This window comes from Homo sapiens, chromosome 12 (genome assembly GCF_000001405.40).
Source record: "Homo sapiens chromosome 12, GRCh38.p14 Primary Assembly".
Classification (NCBI taxonomy): domain Eukaryota; kingdom Metazoa; phylum Chordata; class Mammalia; order Primates; family Hominidae; genus Homo; species Homo sapiens.
The window spans coordinates 80,920,767-80,947,079 of NC_000012.12; the positions used below are offsets into that span (position 1 = coordinate 80,920,767).

Here is a 26,313-nt window from a genome sequence, read left to right on the forward strand (position 1 = left end):
TTGAAAACTTGTTAGTACATGAAAGACAGAGATTTCTTAAGGCAGAGAAGAAAAATAAAACTAAGCAAAAAACAGGAATACCTTAATATGTACCATATTAAGTTGTAATATTGGCCAGATAATGCTATCTAGTTCTAATATCCATGTACATCTATCTGGCCTATGGCTAAACTGTTCAGCTACTTAAGACAGAGGATTGCTGAGGCCAAGATCATGTAATGATTGCTACGCTCTCTTAGCTCCAGCTGTGGTATGGCCTGAATGTGTCCCTCCAAAATGCCTATGCTGAAGCCTAATCACCAATGTGATGGTGTTAGAAGGTAAGGACTTTGAGATATGATTAAGTCAAGAGGGCGCTGGAGATTAGGCCTCAGAGAGCTGCCTTGCCCCTTCTACCACGTGAGGACACAGCAAGAAGGTGTCCTCTAAGAACCAGGAAAAACAGGCCCTAAACAGACATGGAATATGCTGGTACCTTGATTTTGGAATTCCCAGACTCCAGAACCATAAGAAATATATATCTGTAGTTTATAAGTGACCTAGTCTATGGTATTTTATTATAGCAGCCCAAATAGACTAAAGCAGACTGCTGTAACAAAATGCCATACACTGAGTGGCTTAAGCAACTGATGTTTATTTCTCATAGTTTTGGAGGCTGGCACTTCCAAGATCAGAGTGCCAGCAGATTCTACCTGACGAGGGTCTTCTTCTGGTTCTGAACAGCAGCCTTCTGGATCTGTCTTCACAAGTCAGAAGTGAGAGGGAGATCAAGTGAGCACAAAGGCGTTGGGGAGGGTGGGAGGGAGCATGCTCTGCTCTCCTCTTCTTAGAAGGCTAATAATCCCATCAGGGAGGCCCCACCCTTCTGACTTCATGGAAACCTAATTACCTCCTAAAAGCCCACCTCAAGTACCATCACATTAGGGGCTAGGGCTTCAACATATGCATTTTGGGGGGACAGAAATATTCAGCCTATAACATACACCCATCTTAACATTTTCCTATTGGTGGTTACCATGTGATGCCAAACTGGCAATATTTGAAAAATGTGTGACATCAGAAGAAATTAATGTCTGCCTGGTCACAGAATATTTCATTCATCCAGAGGCATGTATCTGTCAAACTCAGCTAAGTAGGATAGGTCTGAGAAGCCAGAAGGATGCAAATATTCCCTTTGAGTTCACAAAATAAGTATCTCAGAATTCCTTCAGTAATGTGCATTAAATTCTACTGCCTTATTTGTTTTATCTTCCACTGTTTACAAAAAGCCCATTTGCTAGAAAACATGCGCTGTAATGAAATAGGAAAGGAAATAAATCCTATGCTTAGGTTAAAAATGGTTAAAAATAAAATTTTGGCCTACAGGAGTAAACATCTGTTATCTGTAAGTTTACTTAGGTAGAACATCTTTTCCAGATAGAGTGCTAGAAAAATATAGCATTACTTGGTCCACTTAAAATCCGTATTAAAACCTCAAGGCATGTATTTTAATGATGTTGGATAAGAACAGTCTATGTCTTTTAGGACATTCACAAGTAACATTAAAGGGATGTCAAGATTCTCTCTTCATGACTGAAATTCAGGGCCTGCTACATTCCCAAATGCCTTTCTCTCCTTTCACTAGGAGGCAAAGACTATCAGGAAAGAAGACTTGGGGCACTATTACCACTTTTCACTCACTTTTGTGAGCCTATCAAAATTCCAGGTCCATATAAAGAAGTTTTGTCTGTGTATTACAGGCCACTGAAAGGTAACCTGAATGTCACAGTCATGATCTCTTGGTTCACTAGCACAGCCTGGGAAGAAGGATCAAAATATGCTGGTACTTTCTTATAATTTAATCTGAGATAGTTAATTTTAAGTGTCAATTTGACTGAATTAAAAGATACCCAGATACAGTAATCCCCCCTTATCCTCAGTTTCGATTTCTGTGGTTATGGTTACCTGCAGTCAATCTCTGTCCAAAAATATTAAATGGAAAATTCTAGAAATGAATGATTCATCTATTTTAAATTGTGCTTTGCTCTGAGTAGCACAATGAAACCCCTTGCCTTCCATCTCTGTCCGGGACATGAATCATCCCTTTGTCCTGTATACACTACCTGCCCATTACTGTATAAGAAAAACAGTATACAGAGGGTTCACTACTAACCTTGGCTTCAGGCAGCCCCCGGGGGTCTTGGCACATACCCCCTTGCATAAGTGGGGGGCACTACTGTAGTTGGTAAATCACTATTTCTTGTTATGTCTGTGAGGGTGTTTCTGGAAGAGACTGGAATTTGAGTCAGTGAACTGAGTAAAGAAGATCCACCCTCACCTAATGTGGGCAGGCACCCTAGCCCAGATAAAACAAAAAGGCAGAAGAAAGGCGAACTTGCACTCTTTCTACCGGAGCTGGAAAACCTTTCTTCTTTTGTCCTTGGACGTCAGAACTGCAGTTTCTCTGGTTTCTGGACTCTGGGATTTATACCAGCAACTCATTGGGGTTCTCAGGCTTTCTGTCTCAAACTGAGAGTTACACTGCTGGCTTTCCTGGTTCTGAGGGGCCTGTGGGTCTTCTCAGCCTCCATAATTGTGTGAGCCAATTCCTCTGATAAATCCTCTCTCTTAAATTTATAGCTGTATATCTTGCTCTGTGTCTCTGAAAAACCCTGCCTAATACACTGTCTATGGGTATTTTTGCCTTTTGTACTAAGAAATTAATAACCACTATTAATAAGCACAATCATTTATTTAACATCTGCTATTTTTCAATAATTGTGCTGGACCTTAAAAATATATTACATTTTTAAATTGCTTTACCAACATTGCTATGTAAGTTCCTTTTGTAAGCATTGTACAAAGTTCCTTCCTTTTTTTCTCATACAACATACTCTCCTGGTGTGCCTTCTACCTGTCTGTTCTTTGAAGTCTTTGCAAGCACCTGTGCCTCAATTGTTCCTTGCAAGTTCATGTTCCTCAGAGCTTGCTATAGATTCTATTACTGACCTATGCACTTGCTGTTGATAGTATAGTCTAGTGGTTAAGCTTAAGTTCTCAAGAATCAACCAGACCGAGCTCCATTCCTCTTTGTTTAGCCTCTTTATGCCTCAATTCTCAATTCTTCAAAATACAAATAATGTTTTGTATTTTGTTTGTTGTGAAGATTAATTGAAATGAAAGTTTGTTGTGAAGCTTGTTGCCTTATAAGTTTATTGTGAAGATTAATTAAAATGAAACATGAAAAGTGCTAAGCACTATGTCTGTCATGTAGTAAATATTCAGTGTATGTGAGCTGTTGTTATCCTACTCAAAATATGTTATTCTAAATTATCTGCATAATAACTGTCTTCTTCCCTAGAATATTAGCTCTTTCCCTAGCCCTGCCTTGGTACTGGGCACTCATTAGGCTATCATTTACTTTACACTGAATGGCTAAGCAAAGGAAAGAATAATCAAAGGAATGTGTCACCATGCAAACTGGGTGTCATAATTCCTATATTAAAGATGAAAGAAATACAGTGTGGAGAGGGTAGCAATATTCAAAGCTTTCATAGATGGCAAGTGGCAGAACTGCAATTCAAATCCATATGTATCTAAATCTGAAGCCCATGCAATCTTTCATTTATTGCATTGGGGAAAATGCACCCCTGGGGAGAAGAGGTGGAGAATAAAATAATTGTTGAGCACTTACTATGGACCTGGTCGTGTTCTAAGCACTTGCATGTGTTTTCTCATTAGATATTTACAGCAACCTTATATGGCAGAGACTATAATTATTTTCAGTTTTACAGAGGAAAACTAAAGTACAGAAAGGATAGTAGCAGGTCAAGGTTATATGGCTAGGATGAAGCAGGGATAGACAGGACTGGGACTCAGTCATCTGGATCCAAAGCTCATACCCCTAAAGCCATGTTTGCCTTTCTCAGCATTATGTGATGCATCGCAATTAAATAGAACTAAAAAGAAAGTTAAAAGTCACTCTTGGTTATATTTACCCCAGTCAGTTACTTAGTACACATTTGATATCTGTATATGATTAGCTTATATTAGAAAAATAAAATAAGACAGCTGAACATCTACATAAACTCTAACTCCTGTCCTGAACTATCACTGAATCTCAAAATCCATCTGTAACAACTTTTACAAATTGTTATTCAATTTTGTCTGTCCATTTCCACTAATATGATGTTCATTAATTCCCAGAAGGCACTGCCTGAGTCTAATTTTAAAGAGAATAAATGTAGGAAATTTTTTCTTGAATAAAAAATGTCAGTTTATATCCTTCGCTCATTTACCTAGTTTTACCCTCTAAAACTATGCAATATTTGAAGACAAACCACTAATTTACTCAGCAAATGTTTGAGCACATATCTTTCAAGCACTGTGATAGGCAATGAGTACGGAAAGATATATATTAAAACACATATTTTTAGGGTGACAGCCATATAGAAGAAAATTTCAACCTCATGTGGTAAGTGTTCTAATAGAATTATTTAAAATGTGTTAATTGAAACATCAAGAAGTATGTGATTTGGGGCAAGAGCAGAATGGCAAATTAGGTGAGTATACAGGGCAATTTTTATTTGAACATCCAGGTATCTCCAAGTGCTTCCTGCTTCTGGAGATACCAAAATAAACTGAGCCCTTGCCTCTTCATATAGCCTGAAGGCAGCAAACATTCTCTGTCCTTGTCTCTTGGCAGGAGGGTGGAAGCACATGATATCCAGGACTCAGCAAAGAAATAATTATCATTGTTGGGTAGTTACTATATGTCAGGCCTGTTCTATGTGCTTTACACACATTAACTCATTTAAAACCAACAACTTTATCGGGTCAGTGCTATTATTACTATTTTCCGTTTTACAGATAAGAAAACTGAGACTTATTCAAGTAACTTTGAGGGAAATTGGAGAGCTATTAAGTAGAAAAGCCGTGATTCAAACCCAGGTAGGATGGGCTCTGGAGTGTATGTTTTTAAATACAGAAAGATGTGACTTCCCAAACAATACAATACTCCAGAAATGACTTCTAGTGCAATAGAAACTTGAAGAAAATAGTATTAAAATGTCACTTTACAGTTTGCACAGTATTTTGCTGTCCATTATCTCATTTAATCCTCACAACAATCTTGTAAAATAGGCATTAATACCTGACTACCACCCTCTATCCATCTGTTCCATTCTCCTCTTTATTTTCTTTCTTCTAGTTACTGCTTGCTATTGCTTGCACCCTGCAAGATGATCATCATTGCACTAGCTCTTTCCTCTTCTCAAAGTGTTCTTCCAGATCGTTGCATGGTTGTTTCTGCTGTAATGTCACCTCCTTGGAGAGCCCTTCCAGAATCTCATGGTGTAGCTTTCAGTTGTATTCCACTGTTAACTTTTCTTCTCTGCACTTTGCTCTCTGGAATCATACTATTTGTTTACTTATTTAAATATTTTATCTGTTGACTTAACTAGAACATAAGCACAGTCACTAACAGAGAATCTATCTTGTTTATTTCTGTATCTCCCTCCCTAAATATAGAGTAAACATGACATACAGAAGGCATTCAAAAATATAATTTTAGCTTTTTTTGTTCCTATTTTCATTCCTATTTTTAAAATTCCTTCTTTATTATAAATTACTTTTCCATCAATTTTTAACTTATTATTTGAATATAAGGGATTGATTTTTTTTGGACTCTATTTAGAAATAGGATCATTGATTTGTGCATATGAAAGGTTGTATTACCTTAGCAAATTCACTAATATTATCTAACAGCTTTGTAGTTGACAATCAATCTGGAAATAATTACTTTGACAGTTTCTATTTAATATTTTGTTATTTATTGTTTTATAACATTGGTTAAACCATTTTTGTGCTTTGTTTGATGTGATGTGAACAGAAATGTTCACTCTCTCACCTCTAAATATAATATTTGACAATCCCAGCACTTTGGGAGGCCGAGGCAGGTGGATCATGAGGTCAGGAGATCAAGACTTTGGTGGCTAACACGGTGAAACCCCGTCTCTACTAAAAATACAAGAAATTAGCCGGGCATGGTGGTGGGAGCCTATAGTCCCACCTATTCGGGAGGCTGAGGCAGGAGAATGGGTGAACCCGGGAGGCGGAGCTTACAGTAAGCCGAGATCGCACCACAGCACTCCAGCCTGGGAGACAGTGCGAGACTCCATCTCAAAAAAAAAAAAAAAAAAAAAAAAATTGACATTGGCGGCATTTCATGCCTAGTGTTTGTCAAGTTAAGGAAGTCCTCTACTTAGAGATTACTAAAAGTTGTTTTTTAATCAGATATTAATGTTATCTTTCATCACATGCCTTTATCAATATATACTAAAATGATATGGTTTTTCTCCTTTAATCTGTTAGTGTAAAGAGTTACAGTAAACTATTTTCTTTTCTTTTTCTTTTTTTTTTTTTTTTTTTTTTTTGAGACGGAGTCTCGCTCCGTCGCCCAGGCTGGAGTGCAGTGGCGTGATCTCGGCTCATTGCAAGCTCCGCCTTCCGGCTTCAGGCGATTCACCTGCCTCAGCCTCCCGAGTAGCTGGGACTACAGGCGCCCGCCACCGCGCCCAGCTAATTTTTTGTATTTTTAGCAGAGACGGGGTTTCACCGTGGTCTGGAGCTCCTGACCTCGTGATCTGCCCGCCTTGGCCTCCCAAAGTGCTGGGATTGCAGGCGTGAGCCACCACGCCCGGCCACAGTAAATTATTTTCTAAGGTTGAACTATCCTACTTTTTTGGACACTGATGGTTCTCAACTAGATGGGATAGAACTGCCTTTAAAAAGGGAATGTGGAAATTCATTGGGTATTTTCAGTTAACACAGTGTGATTCAAGCTGGCATTTAGCTCCTGGGAACTAAGGATACCAAACCTCTTATATGACAAATAAACTTAGCGCCCTAACTACCAATGGTGTCTCAGTTGAGAAAAACTGCTAACTGTGAATTTGTTTTTCATCATTTTTTTAAAATTATACTTTAAGTTCTAGGGTACATGTGCACAATGTGCAGGTTTGTTACATAGGTATACATGTGCCACGTTGGTTTGCTGCACCCGTCAACTCGTCATTTACATTAGGTATTTCTCCTCAAGCTATCCCTCCCCATCCCCCCACCTCCCCACAGGCCTGGCTGTGTGATGTTCCCCACCCTGTGTCCATGTGTTCTCATTGTTCAATTCCCATCTATGAGTGAGAATATGCGGTGTTTGGTTTTCTGTCCTTGTGATAGTTTGCTGAGAATGATGGTTTCCAGCTTCATCCATGTCCCTGCAAAGGACATCAACTCATCCTTTTTTATGGCTGCATAGTATTCCATGGTGTATATGTGCCACATTTTCTTAATCCAGTCTATCATTGATGGACATTTGGGTTGGTTCCAAGTCTTTGCTGTTGTGAATAGTGCTGCAATAAACATACATGTGCATGTGTCTTTATAGTAGCATGATTTATAATCCTTTGGATATATACTCAGTAATGGGATCGCTGGGTCAAATAGCATTTCTAGTTCTAGATCCTTGAGGGATCGCCACACTGTCTTCCACAATGGTTGAACCAATTTACACTCCCACCAAGAGTGTAAAAGTGTTCCTATTTCTCCACATCCTCTCCAGCATCTGTTTCCTGACTTTTTAATGATCGCCATTCTAACTGGTGTGAGATGGCATCCCATTGTGGATTTGATTTGCATTTCTCTGATGACCAGTGATGACATTCACGTGTCTGTTGGCTGCATAAATGTCTTCTTTTGAGGAATGTCTGTTCATATCTTTTTCCCATTTTTTGATGGGGTTGTTTGTTTTTTTCTTGTAAATTTGTTTCTTTGTAGATTCTGGATATTAGTCTTTTGTCAGATGGGTAGATTGCAAAAATTTTCTCCCATTCTGTAGGTTGCCTGTTCTCTCTGATGATAGTTTCTTTTGCTGTTCAGGAGCTCTTTAGTTTAAGTAGATCCCATTTGTCTATTTTGGCTTTTGTTGCCATTTGCTTTTGGTGTTTTAGTCATGAAGTCTTTGCCCATGCCTATGCCCTGAATGGTATTGCCTAGGTTTTCTTCTAGGGTTTTTTATGATTTTAGGTCTTACATTTAAGTCTTTAATCCATCTTGAGTTAATTTTTGTATTGTATTGAGTTTAATTTTCATCATGTTTTAAAACTTATTATTAACATGATTAATATACCAATACAGTTATTCTAATATCTTTTAAATAATCCCTGCTAGGGTATGCTGTATTAGTGTTTTTCTACATTATTAATATTAACTAGTTTTATATTTAATTTTCCAGAGAGTTTTTATAATATTTTGATAATTTAATCACACTGCTCATGATGAATTTATTATTATGTTGGTGCAAAAGTAATTGCAGTCTTTGATATTACCTTCAATGGCAAAAACCTCAATTACTTTTGCACCAACCTAATAAATAAAGTCCTCAATCTTTTCCAAATAAAATACTCTTAAACCAGATTATTCCAGTCAGACACCAGTACAATCAATATGCAATCAGCATTCTAATTTGATTCAATCTAATAAATGAAGGCTACATTCATTTCCTCTAAATTTTATCTCTTTTATTGTAACCTGCCATTCAAGCTAGGAATAATTTTAGAATATTGGTAGGGTTGGCCAAATTATTTGTTATTCCTCCTAGCTTAGTCACCTGTAAAGTTTGTTAAAATATATTCTATGGTGCTCATTCAAAATATTGGTAACAGTGCCAAACAAGACCATGAACCAAACTTCCTTGGAGAAGTGTTTCTACTAGAAATCCAACAATGCAATCATCCACTTTATGTATTTCCACATTTTCCACAAGGTGTCTGTGAGAGTTGTGGGGTCATGAATATATAATGAGACTATGACATATGTCTGAACTTCTGCAATGTCTACTCTTAGTGATTTTCCACGTAGCCTCTGGGATCACCACTTTCTTTTCTAAGTGCCAATATCTCATTCTTTTAAATATATATATGTACACACACACACACATTTTATATATATTTTAAAATATATATATGGGCCAAGAGGCAACAAATAGATTGCCCTATAGTTTCCCAAAACACCTTTGTCATCTTTTTGGAAGCCAGGTTATTTGTCCATCAGCAATTACTGCTCTTCTCCAATTTTCCTCAAAAATCACTTTCAGCAGTCCCTCAACTATATTCCCCAATTTTTTCTTCATTATTGTTAAATAGACCCAGCTGTGATTTCATGCTATGTTTCTCCATCTATCTTGTGGGTTTAAATCTTATAGCCATGTTGTGACTCCCATTATTCTATCTTTTTTTAGTTAAAGGTAATCCTTTGATTAATTTAAAAACAAAAGATGTTATATTGAAATATAACTATCTCCACACTGGGCAAGTAAACAAAAGTTGCACAAACAGTTAGACTTGGACTAGCTATATTGTTTCTAAGGAAAATTACCATCAATGGAAATTAGACACCCTAGCTTTATGTCCAAGATAGGTAGATACTTGAATATAACTACAAAATAAGTTTCAATCCCTCATGATTTTTTTCAAGTGGTTTTCAGGCATATTTATTTTTATTGGACAAGTGTTTGAATTCAGTTAGTATATTACTTAGCAAAATTCAATCTTTTTTTTTAAAGATCTCAATTGAATAAACCAGAACTAAGGCATGGATGAAATTAACACAATTTTTAAGGTTAAGTTCACATTTGGTAGTGCAGAGTGAGTTCAAGTTAAATCCATTTTAATTTGTTTATTAGGACATAGTTCTGTCATTCATGTATTTATGGTTAAAAAAATTGAAAAGCGTAGCTTATATATATGTGTGTGGAGGGGGGCAATTCTATAGCAACTCCACCCATTTAAAAAACCTTTTCAGTTGTATTCTGACATTAGCTCGTGCGATTCAATTCATAAGTTAAAACAGCAGGGTAAATGCAGACAACTGAAACAGGGCTATGACTATCAAAACCAACACCTCACATTCTTTCTTGGCCCTTGAGAGCACTACACTTGTAGGAGCCAGCTACATACACAGAGAGGCAAAGTGACATCCTAAGGTAGCCACTACTTTTCATTATTTTAGGTTAGAAGGCTTTTGTTTTGTTTTGTTTTGTTGCATTAAGAATAATCCATGACAGCTAAGTCTTGCTAAGCCAATTTTATTCATTCATTCACTCATTCAATCAACAAATACAAAGAGCGTGCCAACTATGTGCCACACAATGTGCTGGGTTCTACATAAACAAACCCGACATGGTCTCTGACCTGATGGAAAGTATATCCTAACAGGCAAATGTCATGACTTTAAGAAAAGAACTCAAAGAGATACTGGCATTGTGCATATAACACCATCTCTAATACCCAGGACACCTTCCTGTTTGATAGTACTCCCTAGATGTTTTCTTTCCTCTACTTAAGAGCTAGGCCTTAGTTGTGATCCCTGAAAAACAACACTCATAAGCAAGAGCATTAATTTCATAACTGACAGGAGCACACCAAATACATTTCAGGGCTCGGATGAATGACACACCAAACTAGAAAGGATTCACCAAATTTCTTATTTTTGTAACCAAAATGCTTTAGAGATTTGAGTCATTCTCTTTGTAACTTTTAATTATCAAATAAAAAACAGGCTGGGTGCAGTGGCTCTTGCTTGTCATTCCAGCACTTTGGGAGGCTGAGGCACGCGCATCACCTGAGGTCAGGAGTTCCAGACCAGCCTGGCCAACATGGCAAAAACCCGTCTCTATTAAAAAATACAAAAACATCAGCTGGGCCTGGTGGTGTTGCCTGTTGCCTCCTCGGGAGGCTGAGGCCAGAGAATCGCTTAAACCCAAAAGGCTGAGGTTGCAGTGAGCCGAGATCACACCACCACACTCCTGCCTGGGCAACAGGGCAAGACTCTGTCAAAAAGAAAAAAAAAAAAAAAATGGAAAACTCCTGGAGTGTTTTGTAACTATATAGTGTGAAAGGAAACACTCATTGATTTACAAAGAAATAAAAAAGTTCAGTTCAATTTTTTAATATTTGCTGGAGCCCAGAGAAAATATGAGAGAGCAAGCAAGCGCTTACTTGTTTGTACACTAAAACACATGCGGCTGCTGCTATGGGAAGGATTTAGGACAAGAGACATAAAATATAGTCAGCCCTCCTCTTTTCTACCCCTGATCAAAACACCAGGGCATACATCTTGAAAACGACATAAAGACTAACCTAATTTTTATTTTCCTTCTTCCTTAATCTTTCTCCGTGTCAAATTAAAACAAACAAACAAACTAGGAGCAAGAGAAGGGGCAAACCCCTCTGGAGTGTAAGCAAAAGCAATTTTCTGGCAAATACAGATTTTATAAAAACCAGTGAATAAAGCTGATTAGAAAACCTATAGGCTTCCCAGGGCTTGAATCGGAAGACGCATGAAGTAATAAGCTCTGCCTGCCTTGAAAAGTGAAAAGGGAAAAGAGAAAAATTGTAATGTATCACAAATTCTATGACAAGTGTGGCACCCATGGGATAGTTATTTGCATTCAATTTTTGTTCTTATACTTGTTTTCCATAAGGTTGAAATCCACAAAATAAAAGTTCTTGGTTTTATAGCAGATTTTTTAAAGGACAAAAGTTTGATTTGTCTTAAATGAAAAGCACACTAGGATTTGTTTAATCAATATTTTAAATTACGACTTATTTTAGAAGCCAAGAAATAAAGATTTCCATTTTCATTTTTGCAACTTGTCCAAAATGAATTTAACTCACGGAAAAGTTAGATGATAGTAATACCAACCTTGTATCTTATGTAAGCATTTAAATGCAGATTGGAAGCTACTAATCATGTCATAAGGAAAGTATTAGAAATGTTTTAATTATTCATTTTTCTCCAAGAGTTGGTTTTGTATTATTCCTTCATAAGCCATGAGTATTCAAGAGCCATTTGGCTTAAAAATTAAGGGAACAGAGTAAGCAAAAGTAAAATTTGAAGAGTTATTTTGTATTATCTTCTCTGACCTTGAGATGAAAAGTGAAGGAGAATTGGAGCTACCATACTTTAGAAAGTCCCTAAATCCATGCGGTCTTTAATTCCTGAAGCATTTCTATGTTCTTTAATATCCACGTGTTAAGTATTAAGGATTGCATTCTTCTTTGTTCCCTTGAGTTTAGCTGAAGGTCATTCCTGGTTTTAAAGATTAAAATCTGAGCAAACTAACCTCTGATGTAGAGAAGAGTTGCTATGAACATTTTAAGGTCTGGAAGAGAAGAATTCCACACTAATCTCCTTATCAGTATCTTCTCTTTGTTACAAGGGTAAATGACATGTACTACTTTCTATACCACTGTCTAACATAAAATATTGGACTAAAATTGAATATATCTCCTCTTATGACCACTTGGATTCAACATGTAGATTTATGCATAGTGACATGTAAATTACAGTGCTCAGTATATTTCTAAAAATCGAATTATAATATATGATGTTTTAGCCTTGTAATACAAAGAAGCAAAAAGCTGATCTATAGATTTTCTTAATATATAATTAAATTTCTACCCCAGGATGCATAATTAATGCGTTATTATTTCTTGGTAATTTCAGTTTTTGATCATTTTCTTGGTTATAAATGTAAAAACTGAAAGACAGATAAGTTGTGACTGTGGACCTGCTTTTATGTATACTCTTCACTCTCTCCAGAATGCTTTTCCTAAAGATCTTATTAATCTAATACACCAAAACGTAGTTTAAATTTTGCTTTCTCAGTGAGCCTTCCTCGACCAATGCTAACCAAACAGGCCCTTCTCTGTTATTCTCTATTCCAACCACATGTTTATTTTCTTCAGAGCACTTCAAATTTCAACTAATCTGAAATTCTAATTATGAGTTACATCATCTGACCCCCGGCTACCAACTTTACACATCCCATTTTTCATATTCTTCCCTCTCTCACTTTTTCACACTGACCTTCCTGGCTGTTCCCAGTATGCACAGGAGTTCCCCCTCCTGAGGACATTTCCCCAGGTATCTGCAACTTTGCCTCCTCACTTTCTACAGGACTCTTCTCAAATGTCACTGACTCAGGAGGGTGTTCCTTTACTAACACATCTAAAACAGCAGCCCCCATTTATAGCACTCTCCTTTACCCAGTTTTATTTCTTCTCCTTGGCACTTGTAGTTGTTTATGTGTGTGTTCATTGTGTGACTCTCATTAGCATGCAAATGCCATTAGATTTTATTTATTTTGTCCATTAGCACTGGCACAGTGTATAAAACAATGTTTGGCGTAAGTCTGGTGCACAATATTTATTTGTTAAATTAATTAATTAAGCCCTTACTTATCATCCATCTCTCCCATTAGACTCGTAAGGACCACAAAAGCAGAAACTTTTGTTTCTGGTATTCCTCCAGCATCTTGCATATAGAAGGTGATAAATGAATATTGAATGAATTAATATTTGCCTCTGTGTGTATTTTAATCTCCCTCTCCTAGTAGGTTCTAATTACCACAAAAAGTAGAATTATGTCTCTTTATCACACCAGTGTGTACCAATCCCACAATAGGGTCTGGCTTATGATAGGTACTCATTAAGTGAAGGATATCAAGGACTGGGACCAAAGTCAATAAGAACTTACAATGACCATAGCCACCCAGAGACCTTTACAGGGTTGATCTCAGATCTTAATGGCAGATCAAAAAGAGTTTTGGATAGGCACAGGGCCATGAAAATCTGTAATCACCTTGTTCATCCTTTTGGGGCCCAGCCTAGACCTTGAAAAAGCTTACTTCCCAGAGCAGACCCAGGAAGCTAGGTGCAGACTTCTGAGTTTCTTACTTTCAGATATATCTTTCAAATTTGGAAAGCAGTAAATCTTAATTTCGATCCCTAGCTTTGATTTGTTTGCTTAAAACATTTGCCCTGAAGACTATATCCATGTATGATGTCAAAAGGTAGCAAACAAAAATAATTCAATTGTAATATAAAAATCTCCACTAAATAGTAGAGCAACTTGAAAATATCTCTTATCATCACATTTTCATGCTTTTTCATTTGTAAAATGAAGATACCAAAAAAGAACTAGCAGCTCTAAAATTGTGGATTATATATTCAGATTTGCTGGGATGCCCTTGGGAGGCTTTGTCAAGCACCTTCTTCCCTTCCTCTCCTTTGCCCACCTGCCACAATTCCTCTTGGTTAAACATCACAGTTTTAGTGAGCTATTGTTACTGACGGCAATCCATCAAGTGTATAGGGGAAAGCTAGGTTGAGAATCTCTGGCCTATGTTATCACTATCATCCTTTCCATGGTTAAAATACTGTGAATCTATGAAATGCACCTCAGTTCACTAGGAAATCACTATATTTTAACATTGCTTAAGTTACTGCTATCCTGAGTTTACTTACACCAACTTAACATTATTTTTTTATTGTACTGTGAGTCAGGGACTATAGCAGACACTGAGAATTCAAAGATGAATTTAGAAATGGTCTCTTCCCTCACGGAGTTCTATCCAATAGGGATAGACAAATGCAACAGAGTGTGATAAATGCTTTAATGGGGCCAAAGCAGCAAGTCAATTTAGAGCGCATCAAAGGGTACCAAAGCAGCCTGGGAGAGAGGTGATCTGGAAAATCTCCCAGTAGGTGACCAAAAACTGAGTCCTAACTCTAATTAATTGAATTATAGACTGCTAAAGCTGCACAGTGTTAGAATCATCTAATTCAAACTCCTGATGTGGCACAGAGAGAATCTGATGTCCAGAGAGGCTGATGTATGCAGAGTGAGTATCAGAGTTGCAGCTAGGACCCAGATATGTAATACTGGGTTGCCTCTTTAAAAATGCACCTTTTTTGAAGGGAAATTTTTAGAACCTTTTCCTTCATCAGTTTAATAATGAAAGTAATTAATCATATTTGAATAAGATACGGAGAACAATATTTATATATATTGACTTTATGCTCAGTGGTGATGCCAATAACCCATCATCTCTTGGTTATAGATTTTCCATGAGCTGCTGATGAATTTTTTCAGACTCATCCACAGGGTAAACCTGCTTGTCTCCTGAGCTACTGCATGTACGTAATTACACTCAGAAGGACAAGTAGAGTTTGGCTGTGAACAAGAGCAAACTTTAAAAATAAATCTTAGTCCGATTAGCACCTCCTCTCATCAACCGACTGAGGCATCTAAGGGCTAAGGTAAAACCCAACATTGAAATATTTGTATTATTAGTAGTAGTGGTAGTATATAAAATGACCCAGGTATGCAATCTTCTTGGAGTTTTTGCTCCTAACATAGTCACTTGATTTGGGATGTTTAACGACTGTGATTTTGTAATGGGACAATATAAGAGCTCATTACATTAAAACATAAATACTTGGGAAGCTCATAGTTTCTGATAGCTTGCCATCTGTTTGGTTCTTACCGGCAATGGATTTATCCTGCTTAGTGCAGATGATGATATTGTGGGTAAAATCATGGATTATACAATGGATTTCTGAGGTCTTTAACTACTGTTATTAATTTTGCCAGCTTACAAATCAACATTTTCTAATATAAAATCAATTACATTTTATTTTTCAACTCTTACCCTAAGAAAGGTTGCTATGGGCACCACAGAACATCTGTTCTGGCGCCAACAGATTGCGTTAAAGTCACCCACAGTCTCTCCAAATTAAAAACCTCAAACTGAGTTCACTGGCTTTGTTACTGTACTCTCAGCAGGATGTTCTTTTGCCTTGCCCATCGTTCAGTTTAATCCTCTAGAAAGAAAATTTTTAGAGGTACATCGGACTAAATCATTTTCTTCTGAGTACACCATTTCCAAATGGCCGCCCAGGGTCCTAAATCCGGCGGCTGCGGAGAGGGACTAGAGGGTGTCCTCCTCTGCAGAGCCGTAGGACTCGAGCGCCTTCATCACTGGACGCTGGAGCCAGGAAGGAAACCCACACACTCAGGGACAGGTATAACCCCACAGGGGTGCACCAGTGAGGCCCCGATCGCAGCGGAGGACTCCATCCCTGAGCTTGTGAGGGCGTCCTGGGGAGGAAGCGAACACTTTCCCCGTTCAAGTCAGAGAGCAGGACTCACTGGGTGGCAGGTCAGAAGTTGAATTTTAACCCGACCTGCGCTTTGTCCCCGCGCCTTCCGCAGCCTGGGCGCCGCGGTGGCACCGAGCTGGGAGAGGACACGAGAGGCTGGCGCGGGAGAAGCCGAGAGTTGCTATCGACCGGGAGCTGCCGGCGGCGGGAGCAGACGCGACCCTCGCCGCTTTCGATCTCGAAGCCGCGGAGAGCCGATCTCGGCTGCTGGGGCTCGGCTCCCCGCGCTCTGCCTTGCCCTTTCGGCAGAGGGCAGCTCCCTGCCTGCTGCAGCCCCGCCACTGTGCGCCCGGCAGCCCAGGGGTGCGCCCAGCCCGCCCCCCGAGTGGCCGCCGGGACTCCAGCAGTTGGACCGACCCTCGCCCTCCGGCGCCTGGACAAACTTCCTTCCTCCCGGGCCCCTGCGCCAAGCAAGCTGACAGGCGGCTCCCTCGCCGGTCTCCTCTGGGCTCTGGCCGGGCGAGCTTGCTCTCTGCCCCTCTCCAACCCCGAGCCCCTGGCGCCTATAGCCGTCCCCGCGCAGCGGCTCCAACAAAGCCAGAGGACCGGAGACGACCCGGCGAGGGGCTGGGAGTGGCAGCGGGGACCCCAGAGCCAGAAGGAGGCGTCCCCTCGGCGGGGCGAGTACAGTGGGAAGGGGCAGCGGGAACGTAGCGGGGAGAGAAAGGGGAAGAAAGTGTTCTGTTCTCGGCGCGAACGCCTTCCTGGCTCGTCCTCGTTCCCCTTCTCCTCCTGCCTGAGCGCGTCCCATGTCCCGTTGGGAATTGGCAGGCGGGGAAGGGAGGAGGGGAGAGGGGACGCGGTGGCCTGGCGAGCGAGCCGCTCCCTTACCTCTGTCCAGGGTGAGCGGCTGGACCACTGTCAATGTCGCCATGTCTGCCGTGGGAGCCGAAGTGACGCTCGGCTTCAGCATCAGCAACCGCTCGTAGTGAGAAAAAAAGGAGGAGATTGGGGGCGGGGGTGGAGAGGGAAGACGGAAAGGAGGGGGAGGAGGGGGAAGGAAGGAAGGTGGTGGTGGTGGAGAAGAAAGCTTGGGTGGGTTGGTAGCCAGATGGAGACGCAACTGTTCCGCGGCGGCAGATCTTCAGTTGCGGTGCGGAGCTGAGCAGGTATCCGAGAGCGACTGCATCGCCGGGCTCTGGGAGGGAAGGCTCTGCCCTAGAACTTTGCTATTCCACCCCCAGGAGCGCTGGGTGGGTGTAGCTGGCGGGTTGCTTCCTTTCAACTTTCCACTCTAATAAAATGGTCAGAATATACGTGTGTGCATGCGGGTGCGTGTGTGTATAAGGGGAAGAGAGAGGATGGAAAGGGGATATGGGGAAGGGAGTGGGAGATGAGTTTTCTCAGATTAAGAGAAATTGCCAATCCAATAATCCCATCCCCTTTAGAGAGAAAATGCTTCCATTATCAGAAATGTTTGGGATGTAATTACATTTGCAGTTAATTTCTGTTGAAGTTTTTCGGAATGTTGACCTATAACGGCATATAAAGATAACTGACTAAAGGCCAGCGTTCCATCAGTAGATGTTCATTTAGGACCTGAGTATATTGCCTGGAGAAAAAAAAAAAAAAAGGCAAACCTCTTAAAAGTGCTTCAAAATAAAAAACGTGTAGGTAAGTTTCTATCGCTAAGTTTTTCTTTTTCAAGCCACTGTTAATACATTACCAATTCAGTAAATGTAGCTTAGAAACAAGTACAGTGTTCAGATTTTCTCCGAATTTTTTACATACCACATCCTGTAAACATGCCCCACTCCCCCTCACCCACCCAGCAACAAAAACTTTGCTCTTAATGTCCAAACTGATTTTGGTTGTCTATGACTACGTTTGAAAAATATGTACCTAGCACTTTTCATGTTGATTTCTAACCAGTGGTTCAGAGATGCCACTTATCGATTGATTAACATATATGCCAGGAATTGAGATAGAAGAGTTACATTGCCTTGTGCCACGCCTTGATTTAGGAGTTCAATTTAGTCTCCGACTTCCTGTAGCCTGTAATCTAGTGGGAGATGGTGTTATTAAAAACCTGACTTTAGAGTCAGTTGATCAGGATTAAATTACGAGAGCCTTCAAATACTGGCTGTGACCTCTTCGCCCCAATAAAAAGGCTACTTTCACTATCTTGTCATAGTAGGGATTCATTTCCTGACTACGAAATCAAGAAACATAAAGAAACCTTCTATAAGCTGAATAGGGGTGACTGTGGGTGCAGGATTGGAAATGACAAAGCTGCCTCCATCTTGTTTCCTGTGACAGAGCTGAATTGTTTGGGCTAACAATAAACTCTAAAAGGCAGATACTGTTTTATAGCAAAATATTTGCATATAATTGATGCCATTTTCTTCTGATTACAGATAGGATTTCTGAAGGTCTTTTTCATTTTATAGTCTACAATTGAATTTTAAAAAACAACATTTCACCAATGTGGGAAAGCCAAAGATGATTGGCCATATATAGACTTAACAGACCCTAAGAACAAACCTAAAATAGTAGTTCGATATGTTTATTTTTATTTAGTATTTAAGAAAGAATGCTGATCTTGACATTTGAGTCTTAGTCATGTACTCTTCGGAAGTCACACAATCTCTCACTGATCCTGTTTCCTCCTCTGTCATACAATGGAAATAATATCATTCAATGTCACAGAGATCTGTCATATGAGGAAACTAATTCTACCTTGCAATCTCACAGAGTTTTATGAGGGTCTAATGGAGTCATACATGTGACTGTGCTTTGAAAACAGTAAAGAATATACAAATTTATTTATACAAGCATACATCCCCTGGAACCGTGTGGTAAGCTCTGTGCTAGGTGCTAACCATGCAAAGATTAATGAGATGGCCCCCTTTCTGCCCAGTCTTGCTTGGGAGACAGTGAGCAAACCATAAGCTTCTGTGCAGTACTCTAAGCACTATTAAAAGGAAGTGCCCTCGGTGGCCAGAGGTTGCAAAAACAACTTTGGTTTTTTACCGTTATTCACATGCCCTGAATTAAGCAACAGAAAGAAGTTGAGATGAGCGCAATGATACCAGAGTGTGTTACAAGCTTTTGCACAAAGTTATTAAACCTCACTCGGTAACTGAGGATAAAAGAACATACAAATCCCTTGACTTCTAATGTAGTTATTTTACAACATCCTTTATTAGGGAATATGTATTTAAGCAGCTTGATTCATCAGCCCAAAAGTCATAAATTGTACCCATTCCAACACAAATCCCTGATTGTGGTGTCAGTGAAGGTAGAGTTTTCTTTGTCTTTTTGTTTCCTAATGCATCCTCAGGACTAAACATTTCATAGCATATTTCTGGACTTCTGCCTTGAGCTTCCTATTTGAAATTTGCTCTGTCATTCTTTCTCTGTGTTGACTCTGTAGGGTTGTTGTTGTTTTTAAATCAAGATTAAAAGAGAAATTAAAAGGAAGCATAAATCACCATAAATTCATCTGTTATTATTTTTAGTAGTGGAAAGTTCATTCCCTTTAGCTTATGTCTACACAGGTGTAGAAAATTAATAAAAATTCATTATCCATTAGAATTTGTTTTTATGAATAAATACTATCTCTCCAATAATATTTGTGAATTTCGTTTTGAGACATGCAGGGATATACTTGATCTAGTCACATGCCAGTTGCTTTGCTGTGTATTTACCTGAGAATTGTTAAAATATTTGTAATTATGCTTTTATCTTAGCTATTTGGTTACAAAATCACTACACTCTTTCATTAAATGATATGTAGAAATTTAGTTTAATGGTAACTATATTTTCATGGAGTTAACTAATTCAATAAATACTTATTGAGCACTTATATGTGCCAGACTTGGTGCTAAGTTGGTCTCTCTTTCCCTTTCTTTCCAGCCCAGAGAAGTAGGTATTTTTATGCCGTTTTGAAGATAAGTAAACTGAAGCTCACAGAGGTTACACAACTTGCTTAAGAATAGTAGCACCTGGCTTCACAATCTCCTGTGCTTTCCACTAAGAAACATCACACTTTGTTCTTTTTTTTTTTTTTTTTTTTTTTTTGAGATGGAGTCTCACTCTGTCGCACAGGCTGCAGTGCAGTGGCGCGATTTCTGCTCACTGCAACCTTCGCCCGCGGGGTTCAAGCGATTCTCCTGACTCAGCCTCCCAAATAGTTGGGCCTACAGGCGCCCGCCACCATGCCTAGCTAATTTTTGTGTTTTTTATGGAGGCGGGGCTTCACCATTATGGTCAGGCTGGCCTCGAACTCCTGACCTCAAGTGATCCGTCTCCTCAGCCTCCCAAAGTGCTGGGATTACAGGCATGAACCACCACGCTGGGCCTCATCACACTTTATTCTATGTTGTTGAAGATTTAGTGATTTCAGCCTTTTATTTCAGAATTCCAGATAAGTATATATATGGTTATAAAATCTTTTAAGAGATATATAAATATATATCTATTAAGATATATATTTTTAAGAGATATAAATATATATTATAAATATATTTTAATATAATATTAATGTATTTAATACATGTGAAATATATTTAATACATATATATGATATATTATATGTATATATACACACACACATGTCTTTTCTCTCTCTCTTTTATTTTGTGTGTGTGTTGGCTTGAGACATAGAGAGAGGAATGGATGAAGGGAAGTTAGGTCAAAGGACAAAAGAACTATGATACTGGTTCCATTATATATACATATAGGTTAATATTTAAACAACTGCCTATTTGATATATAAAATCTGTTCTTAACAAAATCATTCAAAGCTATGTTAAGGTCGGTTTCACTTAATTGAATTTTTAAAAATTATATGACAAAATCTAGAGAAGGTTTGCATAGAGCATTAGCATACCAAGGAAATGTGTTTAGTTAGATTATAAATGAAGTATAATGAGCACAGTTTCATATGAGAAAATAGCACCTTCAAACTGGAGTTCTTTCAGCCTGGGTGTTAGAAATTGTTTTTGACTGATTCAAGATAACATGTTATCTTTCTTAATTCATACAGCTTTGTCAAAACAGCACTAGATTAAGATGAAGTGCCAACCAATACTTTGAAATTTAAATGTTTATTTTTTAAAACCATCATAGAATATCTTACTATATTTAGTTTATCTTTTTTTTTTGATAACTACTTATTTGTCTGTTCATTCAACAAACACTTAATATACTGACTATATGCCAAGCACTGTACTAGGCATTGGGGTATTGCAGTGAAGAAGAAAAATTTCCTGTTCTCACTTGGCTTGTATTCTCTAAGGAAGAGAAAGTCAATAAACAAACAAGAAAGAGAGCAATTAGTGACTAAGTATTGTGCAAAGAATGAATAAATTGATGACTAAACTAGATCTAGAATAATGTCAGAATTACAAAAGACAGGGATAGGGAGAATGGCCTTATAGGGAGCAGGAGAGAAAAGCCAGGGATGAGGAAGCAGGCACAGTGTGTATTTGGGTAAAATCGGCAGTTCATTTTGGAGTATAATTAAAAAAAAAACAAGCCTAAATAGAGCTATTGAGAGTTAGGTGGTGGAAGGTAATATAATTAATGAACAGAAATACAATGAACCTTTCATTAATTTCTTTGTGCCAACCATACAATAAAATGTATGAATACAATCTATGCTAAGAAAAATATTTGTATCATAGCATCTGCATTAAAAATTACTAACTTCAGAATGAAGAGTTACTAATTCAGAGTTAGATGTTAAAATATTTCGGATGAAATTAAAATATTAAAAGTAAATTCTAAGAGTGGGCGCGGTGGCTCATGCCTGTAACCCCAGCACTTGGGGAGGCCAAGGCGGGTGGATCACCTGAGGTCGGGAGTTCGAGACCAGCCTAACCAACATGGAGAAACCCCGTCTCTACTAAAAATACAAAATTAGCCAGGCATGGTGGTGCATGCCTGTAATCCCAGCTACTCGGGAGGCTGAGGCAGGAGAATGGCTTGAACCCAGGAGGCAGAGGTTGAGGTGATCTGAGATCACGCCATTGCACTCCAGCCTGGGCAAAAAAAAAGCAAAACTATCTCAAAAAAAAAAAAAAAAAGGAAATTCTAATTATTATTATTTTTTATTTTCTCCGAAAGAAATAACACTTCTCTGTTTTCACAGTTAGAAGTTATGACTGATCTTTCAATAATGAAATTTAAATTCAAAGCTTAGTTTTTTGTTTTTCTTTATTCATCCCAAATTCATATTTACATCTCTCGCGAATGTCTAGAAATACAAGAAATATTAAACAAACTAATTTTTAAAAGTAAAGCAGTCTCTTCTCACATTTGCTCAGGAGATGATATTTCTAAACTATTAGAACTCACAAACTTTAACAATTTAAAAAACATGTTTATTACCATTGTCATCTAAACATTTTAAATATATTTAACAGTGAGTAAAAAGTTACGCTTTTGTCCAACAAATTAAGCACCTGCAATATGCTAGGCACTATTCTGTGCCTGGAACTTAGTTTTGATGAAGAGAGACAGATAAAATACAAATTAGCCATTCAATCAGATAATCTTAGATATTGATTATCATGAACATTGATGTGTTGAAGCCTATTCACACTGTATGTGAGACCCAATAATGTGCATTTTGTCTCAACATCACTTTCAGTTATATCACATTGGTATCTTTTGATTGACCATGGTGGCAGTATTTAAACCATTGGGATTGGTAAATACTCTATTCCAATTTTTTTTTCTCCCTCTAGAGAGCCACTTGTTAAACATTTACCAGCATACCACAAAGTATATGATGACAATAAAATAGGATGTTGTGATGAAATATACAGCAGGGAAAGAGGTTACTTTAGAGTGGTCAGGGAAAAAGTCACATTGTACTTAATAGAACATTTTTTAAAATAACAAATCTGCACTGCACTTGATGTGTATGTACTGACTAGGACACAGGACTAGAGATGGAGTTAGAAGTAGGAGACATTCATATTTTTATGGAGTTTACAAAACAATTGGAAAATAAAAGCATAAAATTAATTACAAAATGATATATCAATAATAAACAATACTATAAATTTATATGTGTTAAAGGGATACAGAAATAAAAAAGGTAAGTGTGGATTGTGATGACTTTCTGGAAGCAATTTATGTTGACTTCCAGAAGAAACTTAGAAATATTTACTTTCTTGCATGTAGATAGGAGAATGTTTTACCTTTGAGCAGAGAGAGCTACTCTTTGCAACTTTGAATCAGAGGATTGCTAAGTAGACCAGGAACTTCTTCTTCTTCTTCTTCTTTTTTTTTTTTTTTTTTGCATTCCTGTATGTGTTTTATTTCATTTTTATTTTTATAAAATAAAAGGAATCTAAGGAATTTCATAAAAAACTAAAGAAAGAGGAGGGGCAAAATGAATATAATAGAGTCTCAGTGTGGCTGGGGAATCTTACCATGGTGAAGGGACAACACTGCCACCTGATACTTGGAAAGGACATTAATGATAGCTAGGACTTGTTTGTTTGGGACGCTGGCTTTATTTAAAACATGGTTAAAATGGCTTTCTCTTGAGGAGCACCTCAATATCTGACTTCTATCCCTTTAAATATAGCTTAACTTACTCCTTCCACCAGCAAAATTTATCTCTAATTTTGGTAGTATGGAATTAATGAAAGATATTAGGAAGAAACAGATGAACAGGCCATCTTCAAATTCTTCACATTCTTACACTGAACAGTAATTGGGGCTAGTAACAGAATTTACTCTAAGTGTGCTGGGAAACATACATGTCAGTAATTAGCAAGTTTAAGAGCTAAATGCACAATTAGCATGGACAGCACATTCAGTAGAGAATTCCAAACTCTCTTTAGTTTTATCCTCCAATGCTCTAATTTGGAGCAAAAAATGCTATAATTTTAGTTAGTTTATATTTAAATATCATCTTTCTGGGCCCAGCCTAAAACATAGAGTGCCCTTTTCTCAAAACTAATTAGGAGGATCAAATTATGCTCCTCTAAAACTGAGTTCCTTACTCTCAACTTCTGTGGTTTCCTGGCTTTTCTGGTCCTGGAGGAACTCTTACACTCTTGCCCCTCAGGTGGGCCTTTCTGACCCTGTAATCTCCTTATACCATTCCTGAGTCTATGCCATTACACAAGGCAGATCCACTTCCTGAAATGCAGTATCTCTGAGAAGTTTCCTCTTCTAAAGTTTTCTTAATTTTGCTTATTGCTTTAAGCATTTACTCACATAATAAATCCAGTTGTGACTTTATTGTAGTCTTTTAGGGATTTAACTAGAATGGGAGCAAACGAGGCAATTGAAGATGGTTTTAACTCTATGTTAGTATCTCAAGGCTCCTGTCACCCAGAATATTGCATAGATTAATTGTGGTAAACCAACCTGAATATTTTTATTTAGACCTCAAATCAAAGAAATCCCCAAAAAGTAGAGACAGCAAGCAAATCTCTGCCATCTTTATCAAGGTAAGATAAGCAAACAAACTATTAACTCTTTTATATATCTTATATATTCTTTCCTTTACAAGAGTTTTTGTTTTGGAATTTTAAACATAAGACAATGCACATGTCAAACAATTCAAAAGGTACTGCAGAAACCCACTCAATCACAAGTCATCAATGTTAAGAAGGATTTTTTTTGTATATTTAATACCATATATTGTATGAAATATATATAACATATATTACATGTGCACATATCTTTTTAAAATTCCAAGTAGAATTCTACTGTGCACTATATTTTGCATATTTATTTATTTTATTTTAGTGATATTTTCATATCAATACATATAGATCTATATAATTCTTCTTAACTACTTCATAACATTTCATTAAAATAGCCTGTCATAGGTGTACTCTCCGGTTGTTTCTAGGCTTTTGCTATCTCAAACAGGGCTATGAATGAAAATCAGTCTTGTTTATAGCATCTTTATAAACATGAACTCCACTCAATTATGACCTTGTCATTTTGAATAATCCAGTGCTAATGTGGCCATTTTCAATTTTGTGCTTCCAGATTATAATACCTGCGATGGATTTATTCCTGCTTCATTGCATGCATTCTTTCATATGCCATTTGTTACCACTTATTTATAAAAATGTCATATTTAATTGAATTTATAAAACCTAAAGTGATTAAAAGCAAAAAACTAGTCACCATAGACTGATGACAATTTTTCCATTTGAAATACGTGGTATCATGCACTATCCAGCTGACTATTCAGTAAGTCAAGAGATCATGACAATAATTTTCTACTAAGAAACAAATGGTATATATGTCTGAAGGAAGATAAAAATTAAAAGCCTAAAAGTACCGCTTTTTGCAGTGACTCACGCCTGTAATCCCAGCATTTTGGGAGGCCAAGGCGGGCGGATCACAAGGTAAGGAGATACAGACCATCCTGGCCAACATGGTGAAACCCCGTCTCTACTAAAAATACAAAAATTAGCTGGGCCTGGTGGTGCACACCTGCAATCCCAGCTACTCAGGAGGCTGAGGCAGGAGAATTGCTTGAACAGGGGAGTCGGAGGTTGCAGTGAGCCGAGATCGCGCCACTGCACTCCAGCCTGGTGGTGACAGACCAAGACTCCAACTAGGAAAAAAAAGTATGTATTTATCATGTACCACATGATGTTTTTAAGTATATACATCACAGAATGACATGTCTAGCTAATTAACATATGTATTAACTCATCATATTATTATTATAGTGATGAGAACACTTTACATCCACTCTCTTATGTCAAGAATACATAGATTACTAACTGTAGTCATTATGCTGTACAGTAGAGCCACTTTTAGATATTTGTTTTATTGAACATTTTATTTCCATTAAATGAAATAGTATAGGAACACAATGAAAACACAGAGATGTTTAAGTACTTTCATTTTCAAATAAAATGACATGTTGATTTATTAACTGAATCAAAAAGCTAAGTACAACTTAAAACAATAAATACTATTCTTTCATTAAATTTTATTAGTAGTTAGTAATGCAAAGACTATTTTAAAAGCTAGTGCATATAGTGCTCTCTACTGGCCTTATCTTTATTACAACTACAATCAGTGTCGAGTTTGTAGTTATATGGGAACCATCATGAAAATCTTCTATACTGCAACTACAATCATCGTCAAATTTGTAGTTATGTAGGAAACATCATGATAAACTTCTGTCTCCGAAGACTAATAGTATTTTAATTTTAATTTCTTTTTGTTTTCTCCTTTAGGGGTGTGTGTGTGTATATGTATGTGCATTCAAAAACATTCATTCTTGAACTTCTATACTGAAGTCAGTTGTGAATTCTGCAAATAAGTT

General features: G+C 37.8%; 1 protein-coding gene and 1 non-coding gene across 6 annotated transcripts in view, besides 1 other annotated feature; both read right to left on the reverse strand.

The window, feature by feature from the left end:
• The window catches only part of LIN7A (lin-7 cell polarity scaffold A), a 145,415-nt gene extending 128,247 nt beyond the window's left edge, over positions 1 to 17,168 (reverse strand). For 3 of the 5 annotated variants that reach the window (NR_136888.3, XM_011538928.4, NM_004664.4), the window contains exon 1: positions 16,875 to 17,168. Coding sequence is in view for 2 of the 5 variants with exons in the window: in XM_011538928.4 (XP_011537230.3) it covers positions 16,875 to 16,956 (82 nt within the window). In the remaining 3 variants the exon portion in view is untranslated. The remainder of the gene's footprint in view (positions 1 to 16,874) is intronic. The other 2 variants (NR_136887.2, NM_001324423.2) reach the window with 1 other exon arrangement.
• On the reverse strand, positions 14,970 to 15,067 carry MIR618 (microRNA 618). Its single transcript, NR_030349.1, has one exon. It is a non-coding gene; the product is annotated as a microRNA 618 (primary transcript).
• Positions 16,296 to 16,505: a silencer, noted in NCBI's record as "silent region_4685". NCBI's record gives its function as "represses an Ori minimal core promoter by ATAC-STARR-seq in GM12878 lymphoblastoid cells {active_cell/tissue: GM12878}" and the evidence as "EXISTENCE:reporter gene assay evidence [ECO:0000049][PMID:35858748]".